The following is a 21,246-nucleotide window of genomic DNA, read 5'->3' on the forward strand; positions in this document are numbered from 1 at the left end:
CACACACACACACACACACACACACATCTGTATAAAAATAGTCTAGGTTGAGGAGGACAGTGTGTTTTTTAAACAAAATCAGGATTATGAAACACATACTGCAAATGAGAGCCAGGGTTGTCTGTGTGTTTTTGACATGGTTTTACTGGTTTGAGGTTTTTTTTTTAGGTTTGTTTTTGGATTATATTTTTTTGACGCTCTTCCTGTATTCTTCCAAGTCCAGTAATGGAATAAGAGTTGAAGAGCTGAAAGATTCACATGGAGATGACCTCTGTGACTTCATCTGTCAGGTGTCTGTGTCTTTATTAGTCATCTGGAATTTTGAAGACTGATTGAGGCCATTACAAAATGTACTGCAGATCTTAGACCCTACATCTTTAATTAATTAATGTTAGCAAAGCACTTTGCAATCGACGAATGAAACTAATTGTAAAAATGTACTGAATGGTTTGCTCTCTTTTATTTTTCTATTTCCACATCAAATACCTTAATTTGATTTTTAAAAATTGTGCTGTGGATACTCCTAAACACTTTTTTCTTTTGAGCTGTTTATGTTATTTACATAAAGTTGGCAGAGAAATATCTTCTGTAGTTTTGCCTTTGATTTTACTGGGAAATAGATACTCCTGTAGGCTATAGATTTATTTTTCAACTGAAAAACACCATCCCAATGTTGTGTTAATTATTAATAGGATTAATCTTTTATGTCAGTGGAAAAATGTCTAAAATTATGCAGGCAAGTAAATCATACATTTGTAGAAACTTTGAAAAGAGGAACATAAAGATCACAGAGAATGTTCTCTAACAGAATGGAATATTCCAGGATAATGCTTTCTAACAAGCAAAGGTAATTTTTATCTAAAACAAATATGACTGAGGAGCAGGTGCATTCTTGCTCAAATAACGGAAAAGATTCAATGCAAGTAACCACGCATTTTGTCCTCCAATAATTTATAATTCAAATCCATATTGATTTGTCATGAAAAGGAAATTGTAAGACAAATATATACAGACAGAGGATTATTAGGTTGCAAGAGCCAACTCTAAGAATTAAGATTTGTGCTGTATGTAAAAATTATATCATATGGCTTAATTGTGTATCATAGTAGTAATTATTACTAAACAATTTTGGGGAATTCATAGGTGAAAATTGTTGCTAGTGAAGTCAGAAGAAGTAACACTATCGTACTACAAATTCCTAGAATATGTGATTTAAAGTTCAAGTTAGAAAGTTAAATTTCTCTTCTCCTTTTACTTTGAAGAAGTTAAGTGATTCTAGAAATAATGCCTATTTAATTCTCTGGGTTTTCCACTTAGCTATAATAATTAATATATAGAATTCAGAATCTATAGATTCTAGAAAATTTAGAATCTATAGATTCTAGAAAATTTAGAATCTATAGATTCTAGAAAATTTAGAATCTATGATTAATATATAGAATTTAGATCAATGAAAAGTATCCTAAAACTTTATAAATTTTATTTTTGAACAGCATTTTAAGATTTAGAAAAATGAATTCCAAATTAATAGTGCCCTCATAATTTGAGGGTACTCATTTGACATGTGAGTATTTTCAATCTGAGAGTATATACTCCTGAAGAAGGAATATAGTTCAAAGAAGTCCTCAAAATCAAATTAGGACAATGCTAAGTGTCTGTGGACTTCATTCTGTTCCCAAATGCATATTTTTGATTGTCCTTGATATTACTGGAAGTCACATGCAAGTTTATTTTGGTAAGAAACAACAAGATAAACAGGTGACTTATGTATGATTGACTAATTATGTTTGTGCCAAATTTATTTTGGACTGTACTTTCAGGAGTTTTGACAAGATAACTGTTTTAATAAAAATGAGTCAATAACAGGAGTGATAGAAATCTGTAAGAATGTTTCAAATGCTTTATAGTAAAAAAGTGCAAGTTGAATTCATTATCATAAAGAGGTACATAATGCCTATATTAATTTTCTTTTGTCCCCAATTTACTTTGGCGTCAATTACTAGAACCCCTATCATGTCTGGTTAAGTGGAAAAATATTCTGGTTAATTTTTGTTGTTGTTGTTTTGTTTGGCTGTGAAACAAGACTTGAAGTTTTCAGTGAATCTACTGAGTTACATGGCACCTTACTTAGAGATGCACAATACTAACTGTATGAACCCATGAGGCAAAATATTAACAACATGTTTCAGGAACTTTGCTGGGCACATGCATATATAGGGTTGAAAAAGGAGGAATATTAATGTAGCCTTGAGCAATAGCTATTTCTGGAATGAAGATGAAAAAAATCCACAATTACAGTTTGAGTTAATATTTGTATGTTGCTTTTTGCACGTGCTTTCTGTTTTGATCTTCAAAATGACCCTGTGAGGTGGTAGGTGGTGTCATCCTCATTTTACAGATGAGGAAGCTAAGGTTCAGAAATATTAATTCCCTTAAGTCACAAGTAAATAAGTGGATTTAACCTGAGCGTTCAAGCTCCACTTTCCATGTTTTCCCTTTCCATCAAGTGGGGACACAGTCAAGATATTAATCCAAATAAAGGGTATCAGCACAAATTTTCTGGGAGGAATTGTTCTTGCAAGACAGAGGAAAGGTAAAATCTAGACATATATGGAACTAGGGTTGTCTCAAATTGAACGGTTCATGGACTGAATTCATCCTGAATATGAGTTAGGTATAACTAGCTCTGCATTTTCCAAAGGGTGTGAATTTGACTGCCTTAGGTCTAAAAAGGTTTTTCTTGATTTCTCAGTGTCTACCACTCTGCTTTTCTCAGCTGAGTCACTTATATCACCTTCTTGTATTCTGATGTTGTATGAACATGTAATCCTGGGCTGATTGAATCACACAAACAAGAACATGGTGAGACATATGTGGGCGTGAGTGCAGAGAGCAATTTTATCTGGCTTGAGCCTAGGTTTTCATGAAGGGGACTCTGGTGGAAAGTTGTTAGGGACCAGATTATGGATGCTATCTGGCCCTCTTTGTCCCCCAACTCCACTCCCTCTTCCACAAACTCTATGTTAGTTGGGTGGCCGACATACAAGTGAGTAGGAATAAAGATTGTCACGTGTGGGCTCAGTCTTCAGAAGGGAGGTCCTGAAACTTTGACCATAAATGATATAGGTCCAATTCTGTGGGAAACCATTAGTACAGACAGCGTCACAAAGCTACGTGTTCTGAGCTGGGAGAAGGAATCACGGTGCAGTTGCGGGTAAGTGAGGAAATGTCCTGAGTGTTGCTGTGAATACTGGCTGATGTTAGTAGTACACTTTTGAGGGTCAGTGGGAGAATGGTGTTTTATCAGTAACACAATTTTAAGGGTGAGGCAAGTTTAGAAAGATGCAATCAAGTTTCTTTGTGTATGTAGAAGATTATTTTGTGAGCCATCTAATTAAGGCAAGTCCCTTTGATTGGAAACTTTGAGTGGGAAGACTTGTCTGAGTCCAGTGGACCTTTGAGTCTTTGGATGATTTGGAGGAGAAATAAGGTTATAAAAAAATTATCATATCAAGATTTGAAATTAGGAGTTTCTCTCCTACTCCCCATCTCATGGCCTTGGCACATGCTTTATTTCCTTCATGGAATGTTCTTCCCCAACTGTCAGTGGAACTGATTCTTTCTTATCCTTTAGACTCTTTACCTATTAGCACAACTATCCCTCATTTGAGAGATTGTCCCAGACAACCCTATCTAAAAAGAAGTTCCTTCTACCTTTATTCTGTTCTTTAGTCCTGTACTAATTTTCACCACAGTATTTCTCAATTTATAATTGTCTTAAATAAATTATAGACATATAAATAGACATATAAATTATGTTTACAGTAACGTACCCTCATAATACTGTGCCCCATAGTACCCTCAGGGAATGTGCATTTCATAGGGCAGGGAGTTTGAATTCAGAGTCTAGTACCATGCCAGAATGGATGCTCTGTGTTTGTGAATGAATGGAGGAATGGTTAGAATATAGCTGAGAAGAAAAATACCATGGGTATTCATGAGAAAGTGTACCACAGATTCTCGTGTCAGATGGAGGATGTAGCATATGCTTTTCTAATGTGTGTTATAACAGAAATTCATACGTAATAGCAACAGGGGACCTTATATGTATAGATATCTCATGAAAATTTCATAATGCTAAATTAGAACATTGATTAATTCTTTTAAAAAGTTATAGGATTAGTATATTTTGGATGTAAAAGTTTAAATGACAGAAAAAGCTATGAAGGGAAGGTAAAATATGTCCTTTTTCAATTCCTTTCACTAATCACTATGAATACATTCTTACATGTCTTTTTGCAAATTTTATGTATGTATCTATGTATATAGCATTAATGTATTTATCTTTCTGTAGATAATTAGTTGCCTACTTATTATTTCAACCGTTGTGATCACAACATTAATATAGTTTTTCTATTTGCAATTTTTATCTAATGTATCTTTTTTTTTTCTTTTTTTTTTGAGCTGGAGTCTTGCTCTGTCACCCAGGCTGGAATGCAGTGGCACGTGATCTCCACTCACTGCAACCTCTGCCTTCCGGGTTTAAGCGATTCTCCTGCCTCAGCCTCCTGAGTAGCTGGGACTACAGGTGTGCACCACCATGCCCGGCTAATTTTTCTATTTTTAGTAGAGATGGGGTTTCACCATGTTGGCCAGACTGGTTTCAAACTCTTGACCTCAGGTGATCCACCTGCCTCGGCCTCCCAAAGTGCTGGGATTACAGGCGTGAGCTACTGTGCCTGGCCTATCTAATATATCTTGAATGTCTTCTCGTGTCAACATATAAAGATATAATCACTCTTTTTTTTTTTAACAGTTGCATACTACTCTATTGAAGTTTCCTTCTGTTACCATTTTCCTTCTGTATGAAAACTTCCATTCTTTTAGAACAGGTCTGCTGCTACAAATTCTTAGTTTTCATTCATCTGAAAATGTCATTATTTTATTTGCATTTCTGAAGGGTATTTTCACTGCATGTAGAACTCCAGTTTATATATTTTTTCCCCCAGCGTGTTAAAAATTTTGTGCCAATTTCTAATGGTCTTCATGGTTTTTGGTAGGAAATCCATAGTCATTTGAGCTATAGTTCCCATATAGGTGATTATCCTTTGGTGTTCACTCACATTTTTCAATCTGTGTTTATGTCTTTTACCAAACTTGGAAAGGAAATTTTCAGCCTTCCTCTTTCTTTCTTTCTTTCTTTCTTTCTTTCTTTCTTTCTTTCTTTCTTTCTTTCTTTCTTTCTTTCTTTCTTTTCTTTTCTTTTCTTTCTTTTCTTTCTTTCTTCCCTTCCTTCCTTCCTTCTTTCTTTTTTGAGACCTAGTCTCACTCTATTGCCCAGGCTGGAGTGCAGTGGCATGATCTCTGCTCACTGCAACCTCCGCCTCCCGGATTCAAGCGATTCTTGTGCCTCAGCCTCCTGGGTAGCTGGGATGACAGGCGTGAGCCACCACACCCAGCTAATTTTTGTATTTTTAGTATAGATGGGGTTTCACCATGCTGGCCAGGCTGGTCTCGATCTTCTCACCTCAGGTGATCCACCTGCCTCGGCCTCCCAAAGTGCTGGAATTACAGACGTGAGCTACCACGCCCGGACTTCAGCCATTATTCTTTAGAAAGTGATGTTCCCCACCCTGTGTGCAAGTATGCAGTTATTTTTAAAATGAGATTGGAGGACAAAAGAGTTACAAACGGAAATACATTTTGGTTGTCTTTTATATTTACCTATGTAGTTATCCTACAAGTATTCTTTATTTATGTGGATTTTAGTTACTATATAGTGTCCTTTCATTTCAGTTTTAGGGATTCTGTTTAGTGTTACTTGTAGCGCAGGTTTGCTTGCAATTAATTATTTTATAATTTTAATTTGTCCTTTATATATGAAGAATAGTTTTGTCAATGTAGAATTCTTGGTATATGTTTTTGTTTGTGTTTTCTGTTTCAGCACTTTAGATATAATATGCCATTCTACTGTCTTCTGGCCTCCATGGTTTCTAATCAGAAATCATTGGTTAACCTTATTGATGGTCTGTTGTATGTAATGAATTGCTTCTCTCCTGCTGCTTTCAGGATTCTCTCTTTGCCTTTGGCTTTTGATTGTTTGGTTTAGGTGTTTGTGTAGTATGGAACCACCTTGGAGTTAATTGAGCTTCTTTGATGTGTAGGATATTTTTTTTTTCCAAAAAAGATGGTACATTTGGCTGTTACCTTAAATATTCTTTTAGGCCCCACTTCTCAATCCCCTGTCCTCCTCTTCTCCTCCTTCTCTCTTCTCCTCTTTTTTTTGGGACTCCTGTTGTGCACCTGTTAGTATTCTTGATTACGTTCCACAGCTCTCTGAGGATCTGTCAGTTTTTCTTCATCCTTTTTTCTTTCTACTATTCAGACTGGATAGTCCCAGTTGACCTACCTTCAAAGTTACTGATTCTTCTGCCACTGCAAATCTGCTATTGAGTCCTGGTGATTTTAACATTTCTGTTATTGTACTTTTCAACTCCAGATACTCTGTTCAGTGAGGCACCTTTCTCATACCTTTTTTTCTTTTCAGATGGAGTCTTGCTCTGTCACCTAGGCTGGAGTGCAGTGGCACTGTCCCAGCTCACTGCAATCCCTGCCTCCCAGGTTCAAGAGATCCTCCCACCTCAGCCTCCTGAGTAGCTGGGACTACAGGCATGTGCCATCATGCCTGGCTAATTTTTCTATTTTTAGCAGAGATGGGGTTTTGCAACATTGGCCAGGCTGTTCTGGAACTCCTGACCTCAGGTGATCTGCCTGCCTTGGCCTCCCAAAGTGCTGGGATTACAGGCATGAACCACCATGCCTGGCCTTTCTCATACTTTCTTTAGTTCTTTAGGACATGCTTTTCTTTAATTCTCCGAACATATTTTACACAGCTGATTGAAACGCTTTTGTATTGAGCTGAAAGGTGGCCCCTGAGATATGTCCATGTCCTTATCATTGGAGCCTGGCTTATATGAGAAAAGTGTGACTATTATCACATATGTTAAGATGTGATTAAGTTAAGGATCTTGAGGGGTGGAAGTTAGCCTGGATTATCTTGGCGGGCCCTGAATGTAATTACATACATCCTTATCAGAGAGAGGCAGAAGATGTCTTGAGACACAGAGGTAAGGAGAAGGCATTGTGCAGAAAGATTGGAGTAATGAAGCCTCAAAGCAAGGAATGCTGGCAGCTACCAGAAGGTAGAAAGAGCAAGGAACTGAATCTGTCCTATAGCTTTTAGAGGGATACACAGTGCTGCCCACACCTTGAGTTTAAACTTCTGGTCTCCAAAACTACCAGAGAATAAATTCCTATTGTTGTAAGCCACCTAGTTAGTCTGTGATAGTTTGTTATGGCAACCTTACAAAACTAATGCAGTCTAGTCTAGTCTTTGTCTGGTAAGTCTAACATCTGGCACTCCTCAAGGACAATTTCTATTGACTACTTCTTATTTTTTTGAGGCCTATAAGTTTTTAATATTCCCACATGCCTTGTATTTTTGTTGTTGCTGAATATTAAACATTTTAAATAAAATTAATGACAATTCTGGAAATTATATGCTGGCTCTTTTTTTAGGATTTGTTGTTGTTTTCCTGGTCAGTTTTCTGAACTAAATCTGTAAAGTTTATATTCTTTGTTGTATGTGACCACTGAGTGTCTTCTCAATTAGCTTGGTAGTCAGATAATAATTTGACAGAGATTTCCTGTCTTCAAGTATTTGCTGAAGGGCTCTGTCTGTGCTGAGGCTTGCCTTCCATGCTCAGCCAGTCCATTGACTCTTCTGCCTTAGTCTTTACCTCTTTATTGCACAGAGCCTCAAGGTTAGTAAGAAGTGAAATTGTAGGCCCTTCTCAAGTTATTCCTGAGCTGTGCACAGCCCTGGGCATGCAAACGTTTCATGTGTTCATGGGTCTCATAGGTTAACAGGAATATGGTGGTAGCTTCTCAAAGCTCCTTATGAATGTTCATTCCTCAGATCTCCCTTGATAAGTTTTTTTGCTTAGTCTATTGTTTACCCCAAATATTATCCACTGTTTCAGGCAGCTGAGATGTTAGACAATTGGCAAATGCCCACAAAGAGATGGTTGTTAACAGTGGGAGAACCCTGAGGCAGGTCAAATAAAGGAAAGCCTTGAAAATGAGGTATTTTCCATAGGTCAAATAATGACAATTCTGTGCTAATGGGGATTCCAAGGAGTTCCAACCCAGTTCAGTGTCTTCTAGTGGCTGGTAGTCTGCTGGTTTTCACTGTGATTGCAACTTACTGTTTTTCAAGGCTAGTGCATAGCTGGGGATGCAGAGATGGGAATAGGGCAAGTTAAAATGCCATAAACTCAACTGTTTTTACCATGATTCAACTGTTTTTTAAACACATGCTCCCTGGATTGCTACAAGCCATTACTCAATTTCCATAGTTCTGAAAAAGTTGTTATTGACTATTTTTGCCAATCTTGTCATTGTTTTGTGGAGGAGAGGATTTTCGGAGGTCTTTACCCTGCCATTCGTGCTGATGTCACTCCGGCATATGGCTTTTGAACTCTGTGCAGCTTGCCTCCTCCGAGTTGCTGTTTACTGTATTTATGGCTTATTCTGCTTTGAAGAAGACTTCTTTGACTTTTCTTTTGGGTTGCATCGCATCCCCTAGATTCTACTTCCATCCGAATTGGGGGATTTCACTGAGAATTATCAGAATTTTCTGGATTCAGTTTCTTCCGTCTCTATAATGCGTGTTGATAGTCATGAAAGGAACTGAAAGTTGATGTCGGAAATATTTACTCTCTTGTCTCTGAATGGCATTTTGTCAAAATTTGTGGTATAGTTTGCTTACTTTCTTAATTTGATTGCTGCCTGTATATTTTCCTTTCTGTATTTATTTTGTTAGGTTTTGGGGGTTAGAGCTTGCATAATTACCTATTTCCTGTTTACTGTCTTTTTTTGAAATCATACAGGATTATTCACTGTGAAATCAAATGAAAACTTTGATTTAAAAAATGAAATGCGTAGCTTTTTCTTTCTGGCTATAATTAGTAAGGCTAGTTTCTGTCTGTGACCATACCTAGTTTGTAATACTGAAATAATACCATCATTTGTCATATTTTTAATATCTATTCTCAGTAGGTGGAGGGCAGTAGAATGTGTTGAGAAGAATAAGAGGGTCCATTTTGTTTTATCTCTTTAGATTCCTCAGTAGTGATTTGATTCTTTAAGACTCAAGTTGATTCTCATAGTAGTGTTATGGTATAGATAAGTATTCCCCTGAATATGGCTGGCTATATAATATATAAGTAATAGAAAAATTAGTAGTAGTAGTAATAGCAGTAGTGATAAGAGTAGTAGCAATAATAAATTTTTAATAATAAGAAAATTGTATTTTTAGCTCACTTTTACAGGAATATTATAAGACATTGGTATTTTTTAGATTTTCTTTGCCCATGTCTCACAGTACGTTGTTCTTTTGTTCACATGGATAAAGTATTATTATGAAACTTTTATAATTTTATGTTCTTTAAAACTCCAATCTTAAAAGTCTTCAGAGCATTACTGTTTCTGTTTTCGTAACAACAACAAAAAAAACCCTAAATCTGTTGACTCGTGGTTCCGAAAAAACTATAAAATTCAGTAACTTCCTAATTGTAGTGAAAAGAGTTTTTCCTTGTCTCAGGAGACAACCTAGATTCAATCATGTTGTGGTAGTGTGGATGTAATGAAACTTACTACATTACTAAGGAATATGTTGGCAGTTCATATCATATCATTTCCTAACTCCTCCTTATCTCATTGTACCAGAATCCTAGGCATTAAAAAAATCACAAACACACATCTACAAACCCCATGAAACCAAATAACTATATGCCATTTGGAAAAGTGTTAGTTTGGGATACATGAGCAAGTGATTAGTATTTTTTTATGTTAATCATTTTCGGTTTATTTCATATATGTTTTTTCTGCTGGACAATTATTTCAGGTGGAGTTGATAAATTTCACTTCATTCAGTACACCATGCCAGTGCTGATGACACAGATCTGGAGTAAATGTGATTCCTACCATCAAGGGACGTGTGTGTGTCTGTGTGTGTGTGTGTGTGTAACTCTAGGAATTTCTTGAGTGTGGTATATGGATTTTTACTAAACAGCGCTGTTTTTATTTTTCAAAAAACACCTATAATATTTAAAAATATAGTAATTGCTCTTTAGTACATTCATTTTCATATGTCCCTGTGTAGCCTCTTTTAAGAGTTTTTATGGGCATGTGGCTTTTCTGATAGACTGAATAGGTTTTTCAAAATCTTGCATAATCTAGTGACTGTGACAATTATGTTGTCAGGAATAGAATTTTATTGCTTGTAGGTTTACTTTTCACACATTTATACATGTGACTAAAAAAGGGAAAAGCTATTTTAAATTTGAAGTGAGCTTAGCTCATATTATGTAGTCCCTTGAGGGCACATGAGTCTCAGGATTTGGCACTTCCACTCCACTTTATTGGATAGGAAGAGGTAATGGGTCACTAGTCTTAGTCAATATCTCCTTTTTTTGAAAGGAAATACTCTGCAAGGGCACAGAAAGGAGGACGTGAAAGAAGATTGAAGTATTTTGCTTTGTGGTCTAAGCTCTTACCTTTAACTCATAATTATAGTGCTAACTAGAATGTCTTATGTTTAGGAAGGAGTTGGAGATGAATAAAATGGAACAGCTTATTAAGGCAAATGTATTTGTGTTAAATAGCAAGGAACTGACCTAAAACAAAAGAGAAAACTTAGTTTGTATTGCATACTTATAAATAAGTCTATTTGAGATAATATTCATTGAATATATACAATGAAATGACAATTTAGATACTTTGAAAACTTTGTAAGCTCTTTGAAGTTGTGAGATGACGTACTCATATCCATTATCTTTGGAAAGTATTTAGTGTGGAAACGTGATAATATTACATAGAGAACTAATAAAGATGTGTCTGCTTTGTAAGATTTCATATTTAACACAGATTACATTCATTAATTTATTTTTATTGAATGTACAAGAAGAAGCTTGGATAGATATTAATTAAATTGTCAGAAATAAATAGAAATTGTAAGTATGACACCCCCTGCAAAGTGGAGATTTATGGTGCTATAAAAGCATTACGTGGAGGGATTTGATGTAGTCATGGCCCTCTGGGAAAGTTCTCTGTGAAAGTGATGAAGAGTTGAGCTCTGAAGATAGACTAAGAGTTACTGAGCAAGGGGTATGGGGACTTGTGTTTCCTCTGTTTGAAATTATATACATATTTTATGCTACACACTACATCTATGTATTAGTAATGGCCTGAGAGATTTGCTCTAATTCATGTTCCTTTTCAGATGAAGAAACTAGAATCCATCGATTTTAAGTAACTTGCCTGATTCATAGCTAGCCTGTGATTAAAATTGAAGTAGCACTATGTTTTATGATTCATCCCATTTCTATTAGGACGGGTTCAAGACATAGGAACATCAGAACAAAAACGGACTTAACTCTTTATTCAGTTATTTATTTTTTCATCTTAAATTACAAAGTACTTACTATATAGAAAGGACTGTGCTACTTGATGTGAAAGATGAGGAGGTAAATGATATGTGGCATTTGCTTTCAGAGAACTTCCCATCTATTGGGAAATACAAAGCATAATCTGAATTTAGAGAGTAACATGATAGATGTCAATAGAAAAATATAGATAAAATGTAGGAATTCTGATAAGGAAGAGATTGTGTCCATTGGGACTAAGTTTGGGGTGGCTTCCCGGAGGAAATGATAATTGAGCTGGTCTTAAACGTGAAAATGAAAGGCATTTGGTATAGAATGGACTGCGTGATCAAAGCAAGAAGTTCGTCAGGGCATCAGCAGGTAGTTCTCTTAGATGACACTAAAATGTGTGAAGTTGTAATGCATGTCTTAATTAAATAACTGTCTTTGTTTCTCCCTTCTGTAATATGCTTCCCCCTGCACAGATCTCCCCCCGCTGCCCCACGAAATGCTTGAAAGGTAGCTTGACTCTTTGTTCGAGGCTCAGTCCTTTGGATGTTAATCCAACTGGGATGGTGTAACTAAATAATTAATTCCTTCTCAACCCCTCGGTCTCTCTGATTCCTTAATTATCCCGCAGCAGAGGGAGAGATAGTGGGAAATAGATTTGAAATATATATTGACACATGATTGTGGGTAAATACTATAGATAAGGGGTAGCCCTTAATTTTCTTATAAAAAGGAGAACAAACTACTGGCAGTTGTTCAATGGTAAGTGCATTGGGTGGAGGATAAAGAAAGGTTGAATGTGAAGCTGCTCTGTGGGGTGCTGGGGATACAAAGATAAATATGTGTACATCAGGGAGTAAGTATGATGCTCAAAACATGATGAAAGCCTGGTGTGAGACAAATCATGCCCAGCGTGTAAGAAAGTGAAGCTATTAGTTCTCCTGTGAAGAGTTTTGAAAGGCTTCACGGATATGTGGGCTTTTAGTTGCTTTTAATATCTTTATGTTTTGTCTTCTTAGATCACAGGTTCCCTGTGGTTTGTTATCATCCAGTAGTTGACAAGGTGGTCTTACTGCTAGGTGCCAACACATACCCTGGCTCCCTTAGTCAGTAATTTTTTTTTTTTTGAGACAGTATCTTGCTCTGTTGCCTGGGCTGGAGTGCAGTAGCATGATCTTGGCTCACTGCAACCTCTGCCTTCAAGCAATTCTCCTGCCTTAGCCTCCCAAGCAGCTGGGATTACAGGTGCCTGCTACCACGCCTGGCTTTTTTTTTGTATTTTTGGTAGAGACGGGGTTTCAGCATGTTGGCCAGGCTGGTTTTGAATGCCTGACCTCAAGTGATCCGCGTGCCTTGGCCTCCCAAAGTGCTAAGATTACAGGCATGAGCCACTGTGCCCGGCTCCCTCAGTCATTCATTCTACAAAGGCGTATTGAGAGCCTACTATGCATCAGTCATTGTGCTAGGTTCTGAGTCTTGTGGTAAACAAAGATAGGCTCTTTTCTTGTCCTCAAGGGCCTTTTCTTGTCCTCAAGGGTCTGGGAGGCAAGACACATTAAACAAGTAATTAAAATAAAATGTGATTAGTATTAATGATAGAGTAGTATGGAAGATAAAGGCGAGACGATTGTCAATGATCATAACATTCTAGGGAATTGAAAATAGTCTTATTCGTTCATATTTTAATTTGGCACTGCTAGAATCCATCATGGCCACTGGGAAAGATTCATATGAATTCTAAAATTAATAAAATCATACCATGTGAGGGGTGAAGAGAAAAGGAGGATTCGTGGGTTAGGATCATGGGCTTTGGAGTTCATGGTTGGAGTCAGGGACAGTTCTGGCTGAAATTCTATCAGTATGTATTGGCTAGGTGATCTTGTATAAGCAACTTAATGTCACTGTTCTTGGCTTCTTCGGCTGTAAAATGGGGAAAATTACAATTCATATCAGGGTTGTAGTAAGATTTAAGTGAGATGAGTACTTTAAGTATAGTGCCTGGTATATAGTAAGTGTCCAATGAATGCTGTCTTCTAAAAAAGATATAATTGCTCGTAAGAGAATGGCATTTAGTGTCCTAGTCTTTCTGTAGGATTTTGGCATGATCTTCACTGATCCCTGTCCTTAGGCAAGAAATCTGAATTCCTTGTGCTGCTTCTCCCATATGCAAAAAGGACTATGTTTCTCCTTTTTTCTTTTTAGAAAGGAAGTATAAAGATTAATTACATCATACAATGGTCTTTTCATTTTTAGGGAAAGGTGGTACATAGATGTGTTTCATTCCTTTCCTCAAATCTGTTTTTGTACTAAAGTTGAGAATGCTTCAAGTCTCTTTCTATTTTTTAAATGCATATTGCTGTTTAGTTAGCTTTTAAGGTGACGTGTGGACGTTTCTTATAAAACCAATAATTTGTGTCACTTTATATAGCATTGCAAAAGTCCTTTCTTGCCAATTTTGTTGTGACATGTAACAATTGTTAGGGGGGATGGATGCATATCCAGATGCTTAAGCAGATTTTATTGATTATAAATAAAATAGCTTAAAAATAAAGCTTTAAAAATGTAATTACTACTGCCATTTTTACACACAAAGAAGTAAGAGTAAAGAAATATGTGGTGTTGTCTTGGGGACAGAAGGATGGCCTGGTTTCGTCTTCACTGTACTAGGACACAGATGCAATCTGGAAAGCCATCTTAGAACTGTTACTGTAGAAGAGGCTGGTGCTTCCCCAGGAGTGCACAGCTAGGACAAGAGCTTTGCATGTTTTCAGAAAGCCCCTGACACTCAGCTGTTAATCTGAAATATCTAGAAAGCACATCTTCTCAATAAACCTTGTTATGCAAGGAATGTCTCGAGCCGTAATTCTTTTAATTCAACTAAATCCAACACTGATCCCTCATCCCACCATCTTGACGGGAATCTCAGTTATAATGGGGCTCCCTCACTCACAAAGTTGTGGGGCTGAGGTCCTGTGATGGTGCATAGAACAAAGTATTCAGGTAAGACCCTTGAGTTTTTAGTTCAAATTAGTTTGCTAATTTCCTAATTTGTTAGCTAATTAGTTTCTCTCAACAGAGGCATACTGGAGTTTTGGTGGGATAGTTCTTGTGGTGTGGGAATGTTCTATACGTTGCAGGATGTTTTTAGCATCCATGACTTTGATTCATTGTGACAACTGAGAAAAAGCCTTTTCTACCTTTCCAAAGTTCCTTAGTTGAGTCCCACAATACACATACTTTTATCCCCCCGGCAGATCCCTTGGACTGTGATGGGGTTGGGACTGTTGTCCCAGGGGTGTGAGAAAGTAGTGGGCCCAGGCGCTCTTAATGGAGCCTCGTGTGGCCACCTTGCTTTTATTTCCCATGCAGATCCAACCTCTTTGCTGGAGCTCTGCAAGAGGAAACTTTTGGGTGCATTTACTTGTAGGTGCCACAGACCAGCCCTTCCTCAAGCTTGGGGCAATCTTTTTCTTTCTCTTGCTGCTTGTGCCAGACCTGTCCCCACCATCATCCCTTACTCTCACACCAATGCAGTGGCTTCTTTTTGTGTCCATAGTACTAAGCTTTTGGAAAACAATAGCCAGTAAAGGAAATTCTCTTAGGCCACTTCTGTGGTAGCTGGGCTACCCTGTGGTGAGGAAGCATGCAAGACCTGGCTCTCTTCTCAGGAGGTAGGATGAGGTATCAAAAGGCAAAATAGGGAATGCAAATTACTAAATGTGATTTCAATCTTTTGGGTTATTCGATAGCAATAAAACTATGAAGCTCATTAACATCTTTGTAACTTACCTTGCACCCAAACGTAGGTATTATTCATCTCCCTTCAAAAATGAGTGATCTTGCCCTTCCTGTATGGTCTGATTTCTTTACCATGGGGAACTAGAGCTCTGTAACTTGGGCAGATCGGATACATGGCCCACATGTAAGACTGACACAAAGGCAGGAAATCTATGGACAGGGTTCAGGGCTATACTTACTTTCTATTTGGGTTTTTGAACTGAACAACAGAACACAGGAAACTACCTGAGTCACTATTTTTCTGATTTCTCTTGTGGATGCTACTTTCTAGTTTAATAGGAAAGAAGTTAGATTGTTATATGGAATGGTTATCTCAGGGCATTCGGGTTTATTTTTCTTGCTGAACCCTTTGGAGTGATTAGTGCTAATCCTTGTTTTTCTGGTCCTGTTGTCCTGTGAAATAATCAGAATTGTGGTGTACAAATGAGTTCTCCTCTGTTAAAGGAGGATGATAATAATACCTACTATGTAGGTACTGTCGAAAGGGATTAATAATGTCTATAAAGTGCTTAGTACACTGCCTGGCCCTCAGTGAGTGCTATGTAAGGGAATAATGTTAATGGGTCCAGGCACTATGCTAAGTACTTTACATCTTGGTGCTTTCTCATTTCATCGTCCTCTAACTGTTCCTGAGATAGATACTATTATTCCCATTTCACAGATGAGGAAGAGAGTTTGTTACTTCCCTGAGGAAACACAGCCTGTAAGCGGATGAGTTGGAATCGGATGCAAGTTTGGAAGGAAGTATCCTCTCCCCAAATGTGGGGCAGAGAGACGCTTGGGCTGACCTAATTGTTAAAGCCTCAGTCAGTGTTATGCTGAATTTGTCGCTTACATGTCTGCACATTACTTTCAATTGAAAGTAGAAAAATGAAATAGAGATCTAATAAACATTACCACAATGTTAAGACTGAAAAAATGAATCTTTGTCTAAATCTGTTGAGTACAGAGCCTACACCTGGAACATATTTCTTTGATCCCCTTCATAAACTGCTAAAAAATATGCTGTAATTACAGGCATTTAGTGAAGCAAGCTACTGGGCACTTTTGTAATAGGTTGCATTTTCTTTTCCTTAGGATAATGAACAGGCTTATAATATAATGAGGAAATTTTGACTTCCTCACCTTAACTTAGTTTTAATACAAGTCATTGAAAGCAACAGAAATCAGAGCATTTATTTATTTATTTATTTTTGGAGACAGTCTCGCTTTGTCGTCCAGGCTGGAGTGCAGCGGCGCGATCTTGGCTCACTGCAACCTCCACCACCCAGATTCAAGTGATTCTACTGCCTCAGCCTCCCAAGTAGCTGGGATTACAGGTGTGTGCCAATATGCATGGCTCATTTTTGCATTTTTAGTAGAGATGGGGTTTCACCATGTTGCTCAGTCTGGTCTTGAACTCCTGACTTAAAGTGATGTGCCTGCCGTGGCCTCCCAAAGTGCCAGGATTACAGGCATGAGCCACTGCGCCCGGGCAGAACATTTTAACATTTAAAATGTTAGCAGATGTTCCTGTGAACTTAATGTTTTATATTTTCACATCATCATGCTCTGAAGTAAAATGAAAGCACAGTCTCCTATTATTTTGGATTTGGATAATTCATAATAATTTAGATATAAGGGATCTTGTTTTTTCTCAGAAAGAGTCATCCATGGTTCATAATATTCATGTTTTACCACTTAAGAACTTAAAAAAATATGTTTGAGATATTCATTTATTGTGAGAAAACCTGCTGCTCTTCTAGCTTTTCATTGGCTAGTCATTGTCAAAATATGCTTGTTATTGTTTTAATATGTATCAAGATTATTTCTCTTTGTAAGAAAGAGTATTTGTTTGTAAGCACTAAAAAGACTAACTTAGATAAAATATAAGAATGTTTTACAAAGATTTCTTTGCCAAAGTAAGGCATTTAAAGAAAAGTTACTGAGGCCGGATGGGATGGCTTATGACTGTAATCCTAGCATTTTGGGAGGCCGAGGCAGGTGGATTGCTTAAGTTCAAGAGTTTGAGACCAGCCTGGGCAATCCGGAGAAACCCCATCTCTACAAGAATACAAAAATGAGCTGGGCACGGTGGCAGACATGTGTTGTAGTCCCAGCTACTTGGGAGGCTGAGGTGGGAGAATCAATTGAGCCCAGGAGGCAGAGGTTGCAGTGAGTCATGACTACGCCACTGTACTCTAGCCTGGGCACGCCTGTCTCAAAACAAACAAACAAACAAACAAACAAACAAGCAAAAAGAAGAGTTACCGAACATATACCTTACTGTTTTGTGTTCTGACTTCAAAGTCAGCAACAAACAATAATAACTACAATTCTAACTTATTGGGGTCTTACCCTGTGTCAGTTTATATCCTAAGCACTTTATCTCATTGTCAATGACAAAGCAATAAGGTAAATATTATTTCTATTTCACATATGAAGGGACTGAGGAATTAGAGAAGTTATATGATTTTCCCAATTAAGAGAGTCGATATAAATAGTGGCAAAGTAATTTCAATCCAGTTCTTTGTGATTATGCACTACTCCTAACTACTGCACTCTGATATGGATAATATAGAAATGCACAGGCTATGGCAGAGACACAACAAAAAAAGAGAATTTTAGACCAATATCTCTGATGAACATCAATGCAAAAATGCTCAATAAAATACTGGCAAACCAAATCCAGCAGCACATCAAAAAGCTTATCCACCATGATCAAGTGGGCTTCATCCCTGGGATGCAAGGCTGGTTCAACATATGCAAATCAATAAAAGTAATCCATCATATAAACAGAACCAAAGACAAAAACCACATGATTATCTCAATAGATGCAGAAAAGGCCTTCGACAAAATTCAACAGCCCTTCATGCTAAAAACTCTCAATAAAGTAGGTATTGATGGGACGTATCTCAAAATAATATGAGCTATTTATGACAAACCCACAGCCAATATCATACTGAATGGGCATAAACTGGAAGCATTCCCTTTGAAAACTGGCACAAGACAGGGATGCCGTCTCTCACCACTCCTATTCAACATGGTGTTGGAAGTTCTGGCCAGGGCAATCAGGCAAGAGAAAGAAATAAACGGTATTCAATTAGGAAAAGAGGAAGTCAAATTGTCCCTGTTTGCAGATGACATGACTGTATATTTAGAAAACCCCATCGTCTCAGCCCAAAATCTCCTTAAGCTGATAAGCAACTTCAGCAAAGTCTCAGGATACAAAATCAATGTGCAAAAATCACAGGCATTCCTATACACTGATAACAGACAAACAGAGAGCCAAATCGTGAGTGAACTCCCATTCACAGTTGCTTCAAAGAGAATAAAATACCTAGGAATCCAAATTACAAGGGATGTGAAGGACCTCTTCAAGGAGAACTACAAACCAGTCCTCAACAAAATAAAATGACACAAACAAATGGAAGAACTTTCCATCCTCATGGATAGGAAGAATCAATATCATGAAAATGGCGATACTGCCCAAGGTAATTTACAGATTCAATGCCATCCCCATCAAGCTACCAATGACTTTCTTCACAGAATTGGAAAAAACTACTTTAGAGTTCATATGGAACCAAAAAAGAGCCCACATTGCCAAGATAATCCTAAGCCAAAAGAACAAAGCTGGAGGCATCACGCTACCTGACTTCAAACTATACTACAAGGCTACAGTAACCAAAACAGCATGGTACTGGTACCAAGACAGAGATGTAGACCAATGGAACAGAACAGAACCCTCAGAAACAATACCACACATCTACAACCATCTGTTCTTTGACAAACCTGACAGAAACAAGAAATGGGGAAAGGATTCCCTATTTAATAAATGGTGCTGGGAAAACTGGCTAGCCATATGTAGAAAGCTGAAACTGGATCCCTTCCTTACACCTTATACAAAAATTAATTCAAGATGGATTAAAGACTTAAATGTTAGACCTAAAACCATAAAAACCCTAGAAGAAAACGTAGGCAATACCATTCAGGACATAGGCAAGGGAAGGACTTCATGACTAAAACACCAAAAGCAATGGCAACAGAAGCCAAAATTGACAAATGGGATCTAATTAAACTAAAGAGCTTCTGCACAGCAAAAGAAACTACCATCAGAGTGAACAGGCAACCTACAGAATGGGAGAAAATTTTTACAATCTACCCGTCTGACAAAGGGCTAATATCCAGAATCTACAAAGAACTTAAACAAATTTACAAGAAAAAATCAAACAACCCCATCAAAAAGTGGGCAAAGGATATGAACAGACACTTCTCAAAAGAAGACATTTATGCAGCCAACAGACACATGAAAAAATGCTCAGCATCACTGGTCATCAGAGAAATGCAAATCAAAACCACAGTGAGATACCATCTCACACCAGTTCGAATAGTGATCATTAAAAAGTCAGGAAACAACAGGTGCTGGAGAGGATGTGGAGAAATAGGAACACTTTTACACTGTTGGTGGGACTGTAAACTAGTTCAACCACTATGGAAGACAGTGTGGTGATTCCTCAAGGATCTCAAACTAGAAATACCATTTGACCCAGCCATCCCATTACTGGTCATATACCCGAAGGATTATAAGTCATGCTGCTGTAAAGACACATGCACACGTGTGTTTGTTGCGGCACTATTCACAATAGCAAAGACTTGGAACCAACCCAAAGGTCCATCAATGATAGACTGGATTAAGAAAATATGACACACACACACCATGGAATACTGTGCAGGCATAAAAAAGGATGAGTTCATTTCCTTTGTAGGGACATGGATAAAGCTAGAAACCATCATTCTGAGCAAACTATTGCAAGGACAGAAAACCAAAGACTGCATGTTATCACTCATAGGTGGGAATTGAACAATGAGAATACTTGGACACAGGGTGGAGAACGTCACACACCGGGGCCTGTCGTGGAGTGGGGAGATGGGGGAGGGATAGAATTAGGAGATATACCTAATGTAAATGACAAGTTAATGGGTGCAGCACACCAACATGGCACATGTATACATATGTAACAAACCTGCACGTTGTGCACACGTACCCTAGAACTTAAAGTATAATAATAATAAAATAAATACATAAAGAATAGTCATAATACAAATTAGATATAGAGATGAAAAAGAAATGCACAGGCTGTCATGGAGATAGAGAGGTGGACAGGTAAGCAAGCCTAGGATTCATGAATCTTAAAGTATATGGGTTAGCTAAAGCTATAGAGGCGGGTAGAGGGTAATGGGTGGGGGGAAGAAATGAATTCCAGGTAGAGGGTTCGGAAAGCACATCTTATTATTGTTACTTGTTACTACAAATATCAAGTGAGGTTTGCATGATGCAGCAAAAGTGAGGTCCAAATTTTTGAGAATCTGTGTTAAAAAGCTTGGGCATTATCTTGTATGACAGAGAGATACTGACAGGTTTCACCCATATCGATGACATTGTAATATTTGTGTTTTAGGTAAATTACTCTTGAATGGGTGAGGAGATGGTTTTAGGAGAGACAAAACTGGAGGAAGGGAAGCCAGATTTAATCTTCCATGTGAAAGATGAGCAAGACTTTGGATTAAGTCAGTGGTAGCAAGGGATCTATTTGAGATGTAAGTTTGAAAAATAAATTTACAGGAGCTAGTGATGCTTAGCTTTGGGTGATGAAGCAGAGAGGAGTTAAACAAAAAGTGCCAGGCTTAAGCCTGTAAAACTGGGTGGATTGTAGAGTCACCAATTAAGACAGTGAAATGCAGGAAGAGGGTCAGGCAGAAGATATAGTGAGTTTGGTTTGGGGCACATTGTCTTTGGTATAGTCAAATGGTGATAGTCAACAGAAATTGACCATATGAGTCTGATCTTGTCGGCAGAGATTTGGGGTGGAAACAGTTGAGGAATTTTTATCATCTGTGGTAGGTGCTATTATTACAGTGACTGAGTCATGGTGCATGGGGGAATAATGGGTTGTAGACGGATTACTGGGGTATC

General features: G+C 37.7%; 1 protein-coding gene across 19 annotated transcripts in view, besides 1 other annotated feature; it reads left to right on the plus strand.

The window, feature by feature from the left end:
* SUGCT (succinyl-CoA:glutarate-CoA transferase) overlaps positions 1-21,246 on the plus strand; it is a 903,812-nt gene that overhangs the window by 236,942 nt on the left and 645,624 nt on the right. Inside the window, exon 10 of one of the 19 annotated variants that reach the window (XM_011515530.4) lies at positions 15,955-16,212. The exons of the other annotated variants lie outside the window; for them this stretch is intronic. Coding sequence (XP_011513832.2) covers positions 15,955-16,008 — 54 coding nt within the window. The 3' untranslated portion in view covers positions 16,009-16,212. Of the gene's footprint in view, positions 1-15,954; positions 16,213-21,246 lie in introns of those variants that run through there. 19 annotated transcript variants of the gene reach the window in all.
* Positions 111-311: a silencer, noted in NCBI's record as "peak6500 fragment used in MPRA reporter construct". NCBI's record gives its function as "represses an SCP1 promoter by STARR-seq MPRAs in K562 erythroleukemia cells {active_cell/tissue: K562}" and the evidence as "EXISTENCE:reporter gene assay evidence [ECO:0000049][PMID:32103011]".

This window comes from Homo sapiens, chromosome 7 (assembly GCF_000001405.40).
Source record: "Homo sapiens chromosome 7, GRCh38.p14 Primary Assembly".
Classification (NCBI taxonomy): Eukaryota; Metazoa; Chordata; class Mammalia; order Primates; family Hominidae; genus Homo; species Homo sapiens.